The 13,791-nt window shown below is 33.5% G+C and overlaps 1 protein-coding gene across 12 annotated transcripts in view; it reads left to right on the plus strand.

Moving 5' to 3' along the window:
* The window catches only part of EPHA6 (EPH receptor A6), a 946,939-nt gene that overhangs the window by 272,795 nt on the left and 660,353 nt on the right, over positions 1-13,791 (plus strand). The window contains exon 4 of one of the 12 annotated variants that reach the window (XM_011512705.3): positions 12,195-12,502. The exons of the other annotated variants lie outside the window; for them this stretch is intronic. Coding sequence (XP_011511007.1) covers positions 12,195-12,250 — 56 coding nt within the window. The 3' untranslated portion in view covers positions 12,251-12,502. Of the gene's footprint in view, positions 1-12,194; positions 12,503-13,791 lie in introns of those variants that run through there. 12 annotated transcript variants of the gene reach the window in all.

A 13,791-nucleotide genomic window follows, 5' to 3' on the forward strand; every position in this document is an offset into this window, starting at 1 on the left:
CATGATGATCTAACCAAAAAGACATGGCTGATGAGAACCTTCCTTGAACTGAAAGCTGATTTATTTTTCCCCAGATTTCTGTACTGCATAAGAAGCCAGAGGCACTTTTTGCCCTTAACAAAAGGGAAAGGGCCACTAGCTAGGCAGGTGGGTGTTCAAAACCACATGAAACTGATTTAGAAAATGGAAAATACAAAAGGTGCACATTATTTTTCACTTGAGTAATGTAGAGCAAATTTCTACACATTGAAAGGGCCTTGATAAAGTGGAATGTGTTAACACCTTCCTCAGTGAGATTGTCTTCTGAAATGACAGTAGTGAGTAACTACTTTCCTCTGTCCATTCCTGAGACCAAAGAGAAGATCTCACTGGCAGAATATCAGGCACTCTGCTAATGAAGTCTCCTTAATGTTCAATGTGATCATTACAACACAGTTCTCATTTATTGAGTACTGATCAGTCCACAGCAATTTAAAAATATTTGTACCTTCATTTCCCATTAAAATTTTTTTCGGCCGGGCACAGTGGCTCACGCCTGTAATCCTAACACTTTGGGAGGCTGAGGAGGGCAGGTCACAATGTCAAGAGATCGAGACCATCTGGCCAACATGGTAAAACCCCGTCTCTACTAAAAATACAAAAATTAGCCAGGGGTGGTGGCGTGCACCTATAGTCCCAGCTACTCAGGAGGCTTAGGCAGGATAATTGCTTGAACCGGGGAGGCAGAGGTTGCAGTGAGCCGAGATCGTGCCACTACACTCCAGCCTGGTGACAGAGCAAGACTCCATCTAAAAAATTAATTAATTAATTAACTCAATTGAAGAAACATGTTAAGGGGGGTTAAATCACTTGTTAAAGATACAGTATTAGTAAGCAGGCTCCCAGGAATTGAATGGAAGGGTTATGTGACTGTAATGTCCATACTGGAATTTCAATCATTACAAATTGATGGACAATGAATTAATCTTATCAACTTTTTGGCAAATACTGAGCAAGGATTATTCATGTGAGAAGGTCAGTCTGCCTTCTAGGGACTCATTCTGTCTCCATTCTTAGATACCTAGAGCTGTTTGGTCCCTCAAGTCTGTGGGTTCTCTGGAGAAGCAAGTCTGAACTCCAGCTATACAGCCAGAAGGACTTTCATGATTCATTTCTCTTAGTCTTGTTTCTTACCTTCCTGCACCTGAAGACACAGATTTCCTGAGACATACTTTTGTGTTTGATGTTTTCATTTCCCCTGACTCTACTTTGTTTCCACAGTCTTCTGTTCCTCCTCTTCTTCTGGATTATTCTCCACTTTAGATCTCAGTGCCTGCCTGGGAGAGGACTGGTTTTCTTCATTCCTTTGTACTTTGATCGTCAGCCTCTATGATTTCCTCCCAGTGTCTGTGTCCCTTGATTCCCTCAAATGCTAATAAATGTTGGTCACTCTACCAGTGCTTGGTTGGCTTTATTGCTCAACATTCCATATGGAAAGGGTAACAGCTAAAAGCAGAATCTAGGTGTGATACTCGAGACGCTAAGGAAGTTTGGGAAAAGTTTGGGAAAAGAGCATCTTTCTAAGGGCAGCATTCAGTATGTTTTATCACCATTAAGGCACTAAATAGAAACTAGCTTTAGGGCCGGAGCAGAGTTCTTACCATCTCCTATGCCAAGGTTATTTGCCAAATCTTAAAGAGGATAGGACAGAGAAAGCCAGGAGAGACACTAATGTGGCAGAGTGGTCACTCAGGACGTTTGGAAACCAGGTTTTACCAATTGATAGAAAAGTATTTCATACTTTAACAATTTGTGAAGCTGTACCAGTGAGAACTGGCTGAATATAAGGTATAACTCTTACATGTCTGAAAAACAGACAAAAACTAAATAAATTACTATGGAAAAATAGTTAACTAATATCAAACTTGTTGATAAGATGCTGAATATTACATGACCTTTTCACAGTTTGCTTTTTTAACATTTGATGACATAATTTTTAGAAATTAAAATCATACTTGAGTCAAAAGTCTATAGGCTTATTTTTCTTTACTCATTTTTTCTGATGGTGTATCTTTCTGTATTCTTTCTGTAATCTTTCTGATGGTGGTATATCAACAATCTGAAATTAATGCAAATTATCTTTCCCCTTGATGTTGCCCTCAAAATGTGGAGAATTCCAAAGTCTCAGAAATCTGTCATTTTCCAATTCCACACATTGTTTTCAAAAGGAGCTACTCAAACAAATAGAAATCAAAACGATCTATGCCTGTTCTCCTCTGGATTTGTGTATCAGTAGCTTCAAATCCTATTATATGTAAATGATAATAAAATCTTACATTGCTATTCACGTGGCTTCACAGCAGAGCCAGCTTTCACCCTAGGAGTCTCTAGAAGTAGGAAGTGACTTCCCTAGAGCATTTGGTAAGCCCATCAAACTCTAACCATTTTGAAAGTTGAGTGAGTCATTAGTTTTATGACCTATCTAGCTTTAAAAACATGGAAAACTGATGTGATGCTGGTTTAATTGAAAACAAACAGGGAGATTATTTTCACCACTTCCTGAATAAGGGATAAAGCAATATAAATCATATTGAAATTTTGTCTGTATTTAATTACTGAGTAGTGTGCTGCAATTTATACTTTAAGTACTAATTATTCTTAATGTAATTATATTTAATTATTATAATTGCTATTCATATCTTATGTTCTAATAGAGACATATCATATCGAGGGCCTTTTTCACAAAATTACTATATTCCCTTCATGCTAGAAAACAGAATAGAAAATTTACCTTAATTTAGTTGTAATAAGCTATTCGTTTCCTCATGTATTGCAAACTGTTTCAAAATGGATTAAGTTACTAATTTTTATCTTTTTTATTAGGTTATTTTGACAAGGATGTTTTATAACAAATGCTGGCAACCCTTTGAAATTAAAAAATAGAAATAGCATGGTTTGTTTGTATATAAATTATGGCTTTATACATTTTATACATTTACTTGTAGATCACACTATAAATTCACATCTTTTTTCTCCTGCGGGCATTGCAGTATAAATAAAAGGGTGGTTAGACATTGTAATTTTTTTGCTCTAAATTTATAATGCATTACAATATATTCAGCTCAATAAGTTTGTAAATTATAGCACATAAGATTTGAAAATTCAAGAAATGGAAGGGAAAAGGCAATCTACAGTAACTAAAAAACAAATTCTAATTCATTGCCTCATATGATCTGAATTTAATTTGCTTACATTTGACAAGAGAAACACCTATTTACAGTGTTCTTTTTGATATAGTACATATAAAGCTGAAATACTGTGTTTCAGCTTGGGTAATGGAGTCATTACCTCAATTTTAAACATTCTGTAACCTGAAATTGGGATTTATAATGGACTCATTGGCTGACCAAAATCACCACAAGTAAAAACGATTTCTAGAAACTTAGAGAGTTGAGATTTATTTTTTAAATTGCTTTTTTAGATAGAATGAGGAATAATACTCAGGAAAATTTGAAAGCATGTACCTTTAGAACCAAGAAAAATTTACGAATATATGTTGCAGTGAATAAAAGAGTTAGATGTTTTAACACCTGTTTACACTAATAATTACAGTAATAATATTGAACATTTATAGTGTATTTAGCAGGTGCAGCCATTTACCAAAAATTCTATGTGTATTAATTTTCACAAAGGCCTTGTAGTTAAGATATTACTCTTCCCTCTTCCATTTTCCCAGGACAACAGGCACAAACCAACACTGTCCCAAGAAAATTACGTTATGTGATTTCCCATCCTGATCAATTTTCAGACAGTAGAGCATTTTGCAAAATAGGTTTTCCTTTGATGTTCTCTATATGATATGGAAAATTCCATAGTCTCAGAAGTCTTTGCCATTTTCTATGCCATTAGCTCAAAAGGGATCCCCGCAAACTAACTGGAAACAATATTAAGACCTACTATGGATCAGAGTCTCAATAACCATAAAAACAAAAATATCTGGAGATCAATGTACACTGGATCGGTGTTTTTAAGAAGATTACATTCCGAACAAATGTTATCCTAAGAATCTGAGTAAATTAGACTAAGTGGAAAAACTGTTTATGTAAAGCTATTTGTGGAGATTTTTTGCATAGGAAGTGTATACAGAAGTTCAAAGGCATAGATTCTGTGTCCAAGAGAAAAAAGTTGAATGTAGAGGTCATCATTTAATAACTTTGTGACCCTGAAAAATACACTCAATCTTTAAACCTTCTGTTTTCTATTCTGTAAGATTAGGCTAATATGTATGTTAAATAATATTTGTGGTGATTAAAGGGAGAATGACCACATTCTATTTAGTGTGGACCCACTATTCAATCATTGAATGTTAGCTATTTATTATTATATGAATGTATTTATTGTAAAGGCCATGTATTTTTCTTGCTGTGAAGATGACTCTCAGTCTGGTGGTATCTTATCATTGTAGTACTTTAAGAAAAAGAAATGTAAACCTTTGAAAAAGAGAAATACTCAGGCTTCATGTCTGTATCTTCTAAGTTAGTGTTGTAGTATCTGGCCTGAACATTTGCTTCTTGGTGGAGGGGTTGGCGTTGTGGAGGGTGATGAGGCCCACTTGCTTTCTGATGGGTTGAGAACCACTGTGATAGGGAACTTGGTGTACTGGAATATCCTCAATTAAAATTTTGTGTTTTTTTAAATGCTATATTTTGGTTAACAAGGTTTTTTTTTTTAAAAAAAAAAAGCAAAAAATTAACATATTATCACCACATGTAACAACGTAAACAAAAGATAGAACGTTTTCCCTGGGAAAGCACAGCTTTGATTTTACAAATTCTTACCATATTTACTCTTTCTTTTATTTAACAGTGTGTGTCTATACCCAGATCTTATTCTGCACCTGTCATTGTGCTGAGCAATGGGGATATCATAGAGAAGGTTGGAACGAGAGTGACAACAGGAGAGACAGTTATAGACAAAATGTTAATCAAATAGAGATCACAGTTTTAGTCCTGTCAGTGTATGGATACCCCTCCCTAAACTCCAAAAGTATGGCTTCTATAAATTGTCTTGGAGGACTAGTCTTAGGCCTGAGCGAAAATAAGGTATTTGAGTTTTCCCTCAAATACCAGTTTTGAGGTTTGTTTCTTTCAATGAATGTGGAAGACAAAAGTATATCTATAAATCTGGCTGAGTGAATTAACTCAGCAGGTCTATTATTATTATCATAATTTGATGAGTTACTAGCATTCTTTTCTTAGGGTATAAAAAAACTGGCTACCAAGGTTATTGGTACTCTTTTCAACTTGAAGTGTGACTCCTTGATGGAAGAAGCCATATTATAATATCGAGCAATTGTATTTAGACCCATCCAGGTGCATCAGGAGAACATATATGAGTCAACATGGGTCCAAGAATTAGACAAACTTAGGTTTCTTCCATGTTTCACTATTTATTGGCTGTTTTAGTTAGAGTTACACAATTGCAAAAAAAAAAGAAAAATCCCAAATATATCTATGGCTTAACCAATAAAAATGCAAAGCAGCTCTCCAACACAGCATGATTCAGGGAGCTAGGCCTCTGCTATCTTGTAGCTCCAGTCTTGTGTAGGGTCTCAAATCCACTTGGTGGGTAGAATAAGAGAACCTGGAGAAGGCTGACTAGCTTATTAAATATCTTGACCTGGAAGTGACACAGTCACCTTTATTCATTGGTGAGAACCCACCAACAAACTTATTTGGATAGAAATGGGAGCTGAGAAATATAATCCTTGGTTATACAGCTACTTCCTTGCTGTAAGTCTATAACTTTTGGTGGATATCTAGCCATCTTATCAAGCTAACTGTATGACTTTAAAAACTGAAATTCTATCATTCTGATTCCTGATTTAAAAGGGGAATAAAGCTGGATGTAGTGGCTCACTCCTGTAATCCCAGCATCTTGGGAGGCTGAGGTGGGTGGATCACTTGAGGTCAGGAGTTCGAGACCAGCCTGGCCAACATGGCAAAACTGCTTCTCTACCAAAAAATACAAAAATTAGCCGGTCATGATGGCATGTGCCTGTAATCCCAGCTGCCCAGGAGGCTGAGGCATGAGAATTGCTTGAACCTGGGAGGCAGAGTTTGCAGTGGGCTGAGATCGTGTAACTGCACTCCAGCCTGGGTGACACAGGAAGACTCCGTCTCAAAAAAAAATAAAATAAAAATAAACGGGATAATACGCCTGAATGATAGGTAATGAAGATTAACTGAGATAGTGTGCATAATACTTGACATATGATCTAATCATAATATGAGTTCTCAATATATGGTAACATGCTATAATTATTATCATCGTGTGATCCATGCTCTGTATAAGTGGAATGATGACTTCCTTCTCCGTCTCTTTAGGGTGATGTAATAGTTTTATTCCATTCCTCCCGAATGCTGATTAATCTTATCATTTTATAAAATTACAGCTATTTATGACCTTTTTAAATGAACATTCTTTCCCACGGGAGTAGTAAGACCAAATACTTCCTTTTTGTATCTAGGACCTCTGTCAGGGAGAAATTTCAATTCTGAGATTGAAAATGGCTCTTTTGGGTCAGTAACTATATCGCTTCAGATACAGCGTGCATAGAGCAAAGGGGTTACCTCTGGGATTGGCTAAGTCATGGCCAGATGATCCTCCATGCTGCTGACCCTTACAGCGTTAGAAAACCTATACTAGTCACAATATAAGGAGTTCACTCTCTGCTATGTAGCGTCAAAGTCATATGGCCTTTCAATAAAGTTTCTTTTATTCCCTGTTCTGAAATATATAGTTACTGTTAACATGTGTTATGTTGATTATGTTATGTTTAGTTGCATATTTGTAAACTACATATCTGTTTTTGTTTTCACGTGGAAATTATGAAATCCTAGAGCAAATAATCAGTTTCTCTTATTAGACCCCCCTAGCAATAAATATTTCCAAACCATTAAAGAGTGACTTGGTAGAATTTAATATTCTGGTCACGATATCAAAAGTAAACAGTAACTTTTAATCACTTTCTATTCTCATTATATCTCCTGTCATAACAAGTATTTTCTCAGTTTTTAAATGGAAGAACAAGCAAGCAACAATTTAACATCAGTTGTCATCGTCTCTTAAAGATTGTGTTGTTGCATTAGTTTAACTTCAAATCAAAGTTTAGAAATATTAGTGCTAGGCAGCTATTTATCTTGAGTTATTAACATTTCTCAGTTATTAAAATCTGGTTATTTCTTTGAGGTTTCAATGATTGAAATATAAACAAGAAAGAGGGGAAAATGTCAAGTGTATCTCATTCTGATTAGTATTATAATTGTAAAGTTCTTTTAGTCTTGCTACATAAACTATTATTTTAGCCTTCACATTTTAAAAGGCTTCAACATTTTCTCAGGGAACATCTGCAGGAAAACAATACTTTGGGAGACAGGAAAAGAAAAGAGGAAAACTAAACTGCTGAAATGTTAAAGAGTGTAGCCTTTATTAAATAAATGTGATGTAACAAAATGTGTAAAGGACTTTGGGTAAGGAAACCGGATTTCAGGGTCTGACTTGCCTACTGGGTGTATGATATCTTGAGTAAGGTAACCTATAATTTGGAAGTTTTAGTTTTCTTATCTTTAAGATGGAGAGAAAAATGATCCCCATCGCCTATGATTAGTGTAAGATTTAAAAATTGAATAAGAGAAAAGGGCTGCCATTAAAAGTAGTAAATACGGAAAACTGGCAATCTGTTTTTAATTGAAACTATTTTCAACAAAAGTAAAAATTTTAATGAAAGAAGCGTAATATTGTTAAAAAGCATCCTGACTTTTTAATGATCGCCATTCTAACTGGTATGAGATGGTATCTCATTGTGGTTTTGGAACTGAACAATAAGAACACTTGGACACAGGAAGGGGAACATCACACACTGGGGCCTGTCATGGGGTAGGGGGAAAAGGGAGGGATAGCATTAGGAGATATACCTAATGTAAATGATGAGTTAATGAGTGCAGCACACCAACATGGCACATGTATACATATGTAACAAACTGCACCTTGTGCACATGTACCCTAGAACTTCAAGTATAATGATAAAAAAAAGCATCCTGCTTTCTTTTGTTGTGACCATACCCCCCACCTTCCTTTTCAAAATTATGTGGCACAGGCTGATAATGCTTACCATTATTCAAACACTCATCAGACTAATGAAATTCCTGATTTTTAGGTGGGCTAATGGCTACTTAAAAATAATGACCACATTTCCTACCCTGCTTTTAAGTGATGTGTGGCCATATGACTAAGTATGTGAGGGAAAGTGGTGTGTGTAACTCTGGGATATATCCTTAGAGCAGTAGTTCACAAACTTTGTTGTGTACCATCATCACTTGAAGGACTTGTTAAAAAATAAAAAAAAAAACAAGCAAACAAAAAAACATATGATTGAATTCCATCCTGGAGTTTTAGATCAGTAAGTCTGGAGAGGAGCTTGAGAATTTTCATTTCTAGTAAGTTCCTAAATGATGCTGATGCTGCAGCTTAAATGATATTATACTTTGAAAACCTCTGCTTTCTTGTTTTGTTTTTCTTCCACTCTAATGCTCAGAACATGAATGTGATGGCTCAGGATGATTCTAGAACCAAAAGTTTAAGAACCCTGTCCTAGGGATGGTGGATAAGACACATAGGACTGAGGACCTAATATGAAATTCATTCATATTGATTAAGTCTTTTTGAGCTGGAAGCAATGGGTTTTGATTTCATAATGCTGTAACTTTTAACTTTGCTCTAACAAAGCTATTTTATACGTATCCACATATATGGAGGAAAATGTATTTGCAAAATGTGTATGTGTGTGTTTTAACCTAAGGAAATATATATATATATACACACACACACATACACACACATACACACCCACACACACACACACACATATATATACATGTCTATATCTATATCTATATAGTTGAGTGCCGAGCTTTTCATAGGAAATATGAGTAGTTTAAATATTTAGAGTAGTTTAGAAGTATATTATTGTATAGCTATATATTTTAAATCTATGAACATTTCACAGAACTACATAAATTTGTTCAAGGGTAATGATTAATAATGAGATTTACTGACTTCATAAGTATTGAGAGTACTTGGCTTTCAACCTCATGCCTTATGACTTTTCTAAACCACTGAATGTACTCAAAAGAAGAATATAACCTGTCATGGGTTATGCCAGCCTGGGCATTTAAAATCTCAGTGAGACATGGGAGAAAAAAGTCAGTATATTCAGGTGTCTTTTACTCAAAGCTAAAATCATTGGTAAACTTTTGCCTATTTTATGTGATTCTTAAATTTTCTTAAGTTTTGAATAATAAGGAGTGGTTTTAATAATAAAAATGTCACTTTTATTTAAAGTTAAAAACCAAAAGTTAGTGCTTAATACAATATAAGGGCTATAGTATAATCTTTTTTTATATTCAAATTTAGATCTATGGACAGCAAAAGACATATGTCAAATAAAGTCTATCATCTGTTAAAAAACTTTCTAAATTATAAGTAACTCAGTGTTAAATGCCCACATCTCCTAATGTTTCCTCCATTTTAGTTCCCTACGTAGTTTATGAGTTCGTAAACATTTATTTAAATAAAAATTCAAATTCCAAAACAAAAAAATCCAATTGGGGGTCATTTCATTAATGTTTATCATTAAAGCAGTAATATTATGATATTATGAAAAAAAGAAAAAATGTAGTTTAAGCTGAAAGAATTTGAATGTTCCAAACACAAAGAAATAATAAGTATTTAGTAGAGTATTAGCTTAGCTGATTTATAAAAATGACATATGCAATATCATTAATAAAAGAAATAAAAATATGTAAATGGAAAATATAAAGAAAAATATTTTTTAAGAAATGACATGAAGAAAAATTTAAATAATTGAGCCATCAAGATTGACAACATTGCTATATTTTGCTTCCTGGCAGTCAGAGCTAACAGACATAATCAGTTATTTAATTTATTCTTCCTTTTTTCAGAGATAAAGGAAATATACTACCTTGTAAACAAAACAAAACAAAACACAAGGTTTTACATTGAAAGCATTGAATTTTTAAAATGGGAAAAACATATTGTGAATCTGAAAATATAAGTTGTAGCTGAATGACCCTTTCAGTGAAGATAAAATCACATTGGTTCTTTTTTTTTTAAATGGAATAATCATATGACACTTTCATTGTATAGCTTTATATAAAAGATAGTTAATTAAAATTTATGTCTTCACTGCCAGATTGGAAGACCTTTTGTATGGAAATGCATGCCATATCAAGTGTCATATCTGTCTTATGTCAAGCCTGTATCCATAATAGGTACAATAAATGTTTTTTAGTAATTGATGAAATAACAAAATTTAATGCTAAGAAATGCTTCCTGGTATTTTAATCACATAGCAGATAAATCAGAAGAATGTATGCAGCTAATGTATCCAAAAAGAGAAGTCAAGTAGGCAATGGTTATTAAATCACATTTCTGGATGTGAGTAATGATGTGGGTGAGAATAATATGATTAACAATGCCACAGTTCTACTCCTGTCAAATTAAAATTTTGCAAAAATCGTAGAGAATGAATCTTACGTTTAAGAATTTGAATTTAGAAAACTTAAGTTATGAGATAAATGAACAATAATGGCACTCACATAATATTTACAACATACCAAGCACTCTTCCAGTGCCTCATATGTTGGAATTAACAAAGTTCTCACAATGACTTTTTGGGTGGTATCATTAATGCTCTCATTTTGTGAATAGCAATGCGGCATATTACACCCAAGGTCATGTAGCTAGCAAGTGCTGGACCCAGGGATTGGACCAAGTCTGATTCATGAGTGTATGCTCTAATCAGGCTTTTATTCTATACTTCTAAAACATCCAAACAATTCACTTTATTTTTTGTGTCTGATTATTTTAAATTATTTGCATATTATTCAATTTCCAGGACTATTGGAAGTAATAAACTTAAATTTAATTTAACTTTTGATATGTAGAATTACTGAACTCTGCTTGCTTTTTTATGTAAGCTTTCTTATGCATTAGATCTGAATAGGCAACAGAATTTATGGGAGAACCAAAACCATTCTAGGGAAGATATGGAAAAATAAATTAAAACAGAAGGATTTGAGTACATTTTAAATGTGAATGTGATGATGTTATGTGACTAAGATTTATGAAATGTTATATTATGTGATTATCTTTACCTAACTTATGATGAAAAAGTAGTTGAACCTCTAAGACTTTTTCAAAAACCCTTATGACAAAGAAGTCAGTAAAGTGGAAAAAGGTAACACTTTTTGTTATGAATCAACAAAAATAGGGGTATCTGGAACACTTCGTAGTCTGTATTATAACACTACAATCCACTATGTCAATCAAGCAAAAAGGGATGTAATTGTTATGCTGCTGTGTCCACAACTGATGAATGTTTGTTGCTATTTGATGGTTGGTAACAAATTGGTGGGTTCTGCTGTCAGCACTGCTATCAGAGTACAGTTCTATTATATTCTCATTAACATAATGATAAAATTAACATTAAGAAAACACTTTCTATAAGAATTTATGAGATTCTATGCAATTAAGCATGTAACAGTGTGGACAGAAAATTTGCAGAAGGCTGTATAATAATAAAAACTTTAAAAATATATTTGTAGAAGTAGTCAGTGACCTGAGACTTTAGACTGTTGATGACTGGCTTGTTGATATGTTAATGTGAAGTAATTATTCCAGTGAATTGAAGCTGAAAGTCAACATGTATATTTATTAATTTAGTTTAAGCTTCCTTATTGTTAATCACAGTTGAGGTATCTATTTTCAGCAGACTTATCCATAACTTTCCCATCAAGGTTTGCCAACCATAAAATCTAAATATTTTTTTCCTGTCAACTTTCTAATTTCTAATTAGGAAATGTTTTGTGACTCTTTAAAATCCTAAACACTTGTTTGTCTTTAAGAACTGATTTTGTGGGTCAGAAATCTGTTAAATATTGCATATAATTTGTCTTTTGATATTCACTAATATTTTCACAATATTTATAAGCATGTTCAGTTATTAAAGGATTAGATATTTCTTAATAAGTACCTTTTACTAATTGTGATAGTGTGTTATGTCAGAAACAATATTATGTGTTTACCAAACCCTCCTTTTTTGGTTTGTGACTCATCCTAATGAAATTTCCCAGCATATCTTATCGCCGAGTGGGATCATGTGACCTGTTTCTGGATACTGGAATGTTGATTAAAGTAGAATATGCCACTTTCTGGTCTTGCTCATTAAAAGACCTTCCTGATTATCTGCCAAGCTCTCTCCATCTTTCTTCTCACACCCTGATGATGAAAATCCAGTGGAGGACCCCAAAGCCCTGAAGATATGTTGAAGTGTAAGATGGAAGTAACCTAGATCCTGAATGATCATATGGAGCAAAGTCCCACAGCTGACTACTTTGGATTATGAAGTGAGTGAGAAATAAACCTGTAGTGTTTACACTAATGAGACTTTCTGAGTTTTTGTTATTGCTGTTAGTCTACCTTGACCAATAGATTTGTGCTTAGCACAAAATTGGAAGTTGGAGAAAATTAAAAACAAAGGAGTGTCTCCACCATGTGTATGTGTATTTTTGTAGATAGCAAGTTAAAAGTCACTATACAAGGCCACAGTTTATTTGGGTACTATTGTATTGGCCAAAGCAACTCTACTATGAATGCAGGAGGAACTAGCAAAACAAAGTTAATAAAGAGAAGCTGTTCTTCACTTCAAAATTTAATTTCATGTCTCTAATCATAATAGAATAAGAAATGCAGTCACCTAGAGATCAAAGCACACAATAAATATAGTTTATATATATCTATATATTTTATATATATATAGATATATGGAGCTTAACATTCTCTAAGCAGTTTTGATGACACAATAGTAAAGAGATCAGTTTTTAATGCAATACTATATATTTCTTTCTGATTATCAGGCAGACAAATTAACAAAGAGACATAATAATAACAATCATATTTTGAGTGTTTCTCAGGTGCAACCATAATTTGGGACCCTATTATATACATTATTCTACTTAATGGCTACTAACTGATTTTAGAGATATTAAACAAAATCAGAGAGGCTAATTTGCCCACATCATGTAGCTCTTTAGTACTAAGACTGAGATTCATCCCTAGGCCCAGCCTCTTTCAGAGATAATACACTGTTCATTGTGTGAGCAGAGAATGGAGTTAGTAAGTTAAGTAGGAACAAGACAGGATAACTGGGATAACTGAAGGTACGTGTTCCAAATATTTTTCCTTTATTTTAAAAAGTTGAAATACATTTCAGTTACTCTGAACATTATCAAAGTGATATACCAAGTGTTTCCTATTATTTCCCATTTTCACTTGTTTGGGCTAAAATGTCTGTATATTTTTGACATTATTGTTGTAATTTTTTCTACATATTCTATCCTAATATTAACCACTCCCTGAATATTGTGCTGGAGAAGGTAGTGAGATTTTAAAATAATCATAAATGAGAATAAGATAAATGATTAAAACAGCATCTCTATTACAGAATGAAATAAAGATTATCAATAAAGTCTATAATTATTTGATAATGGAGTTTAGTATCTGTGAATGTAAAACGACTTTATAATGTATTATGATTCAGATTTTCAACTTAAGGCACATTGTCTCTGATCTGTCATTTTTTACTGTGGTGAGTAAATTATCATAACTATATTTTTGGTCAATTCAAGCTTTTACAGTAAATTTTGAACATATAAATTATTTAATACAGGA

This window comes from Homo sapiens, chromosome 3 (genome assembly GCF_000001405.40).
Source record: "Homo sapiens chromosome 3, GRCh38.p14 Primary Assembly".
NCBI classification, from domain to species: domain Eukaryota; kingdom Metazoa; phylum Chordata; class Mammalia; order Primates; family Hominidae; genus Homo; species Homo sapiens.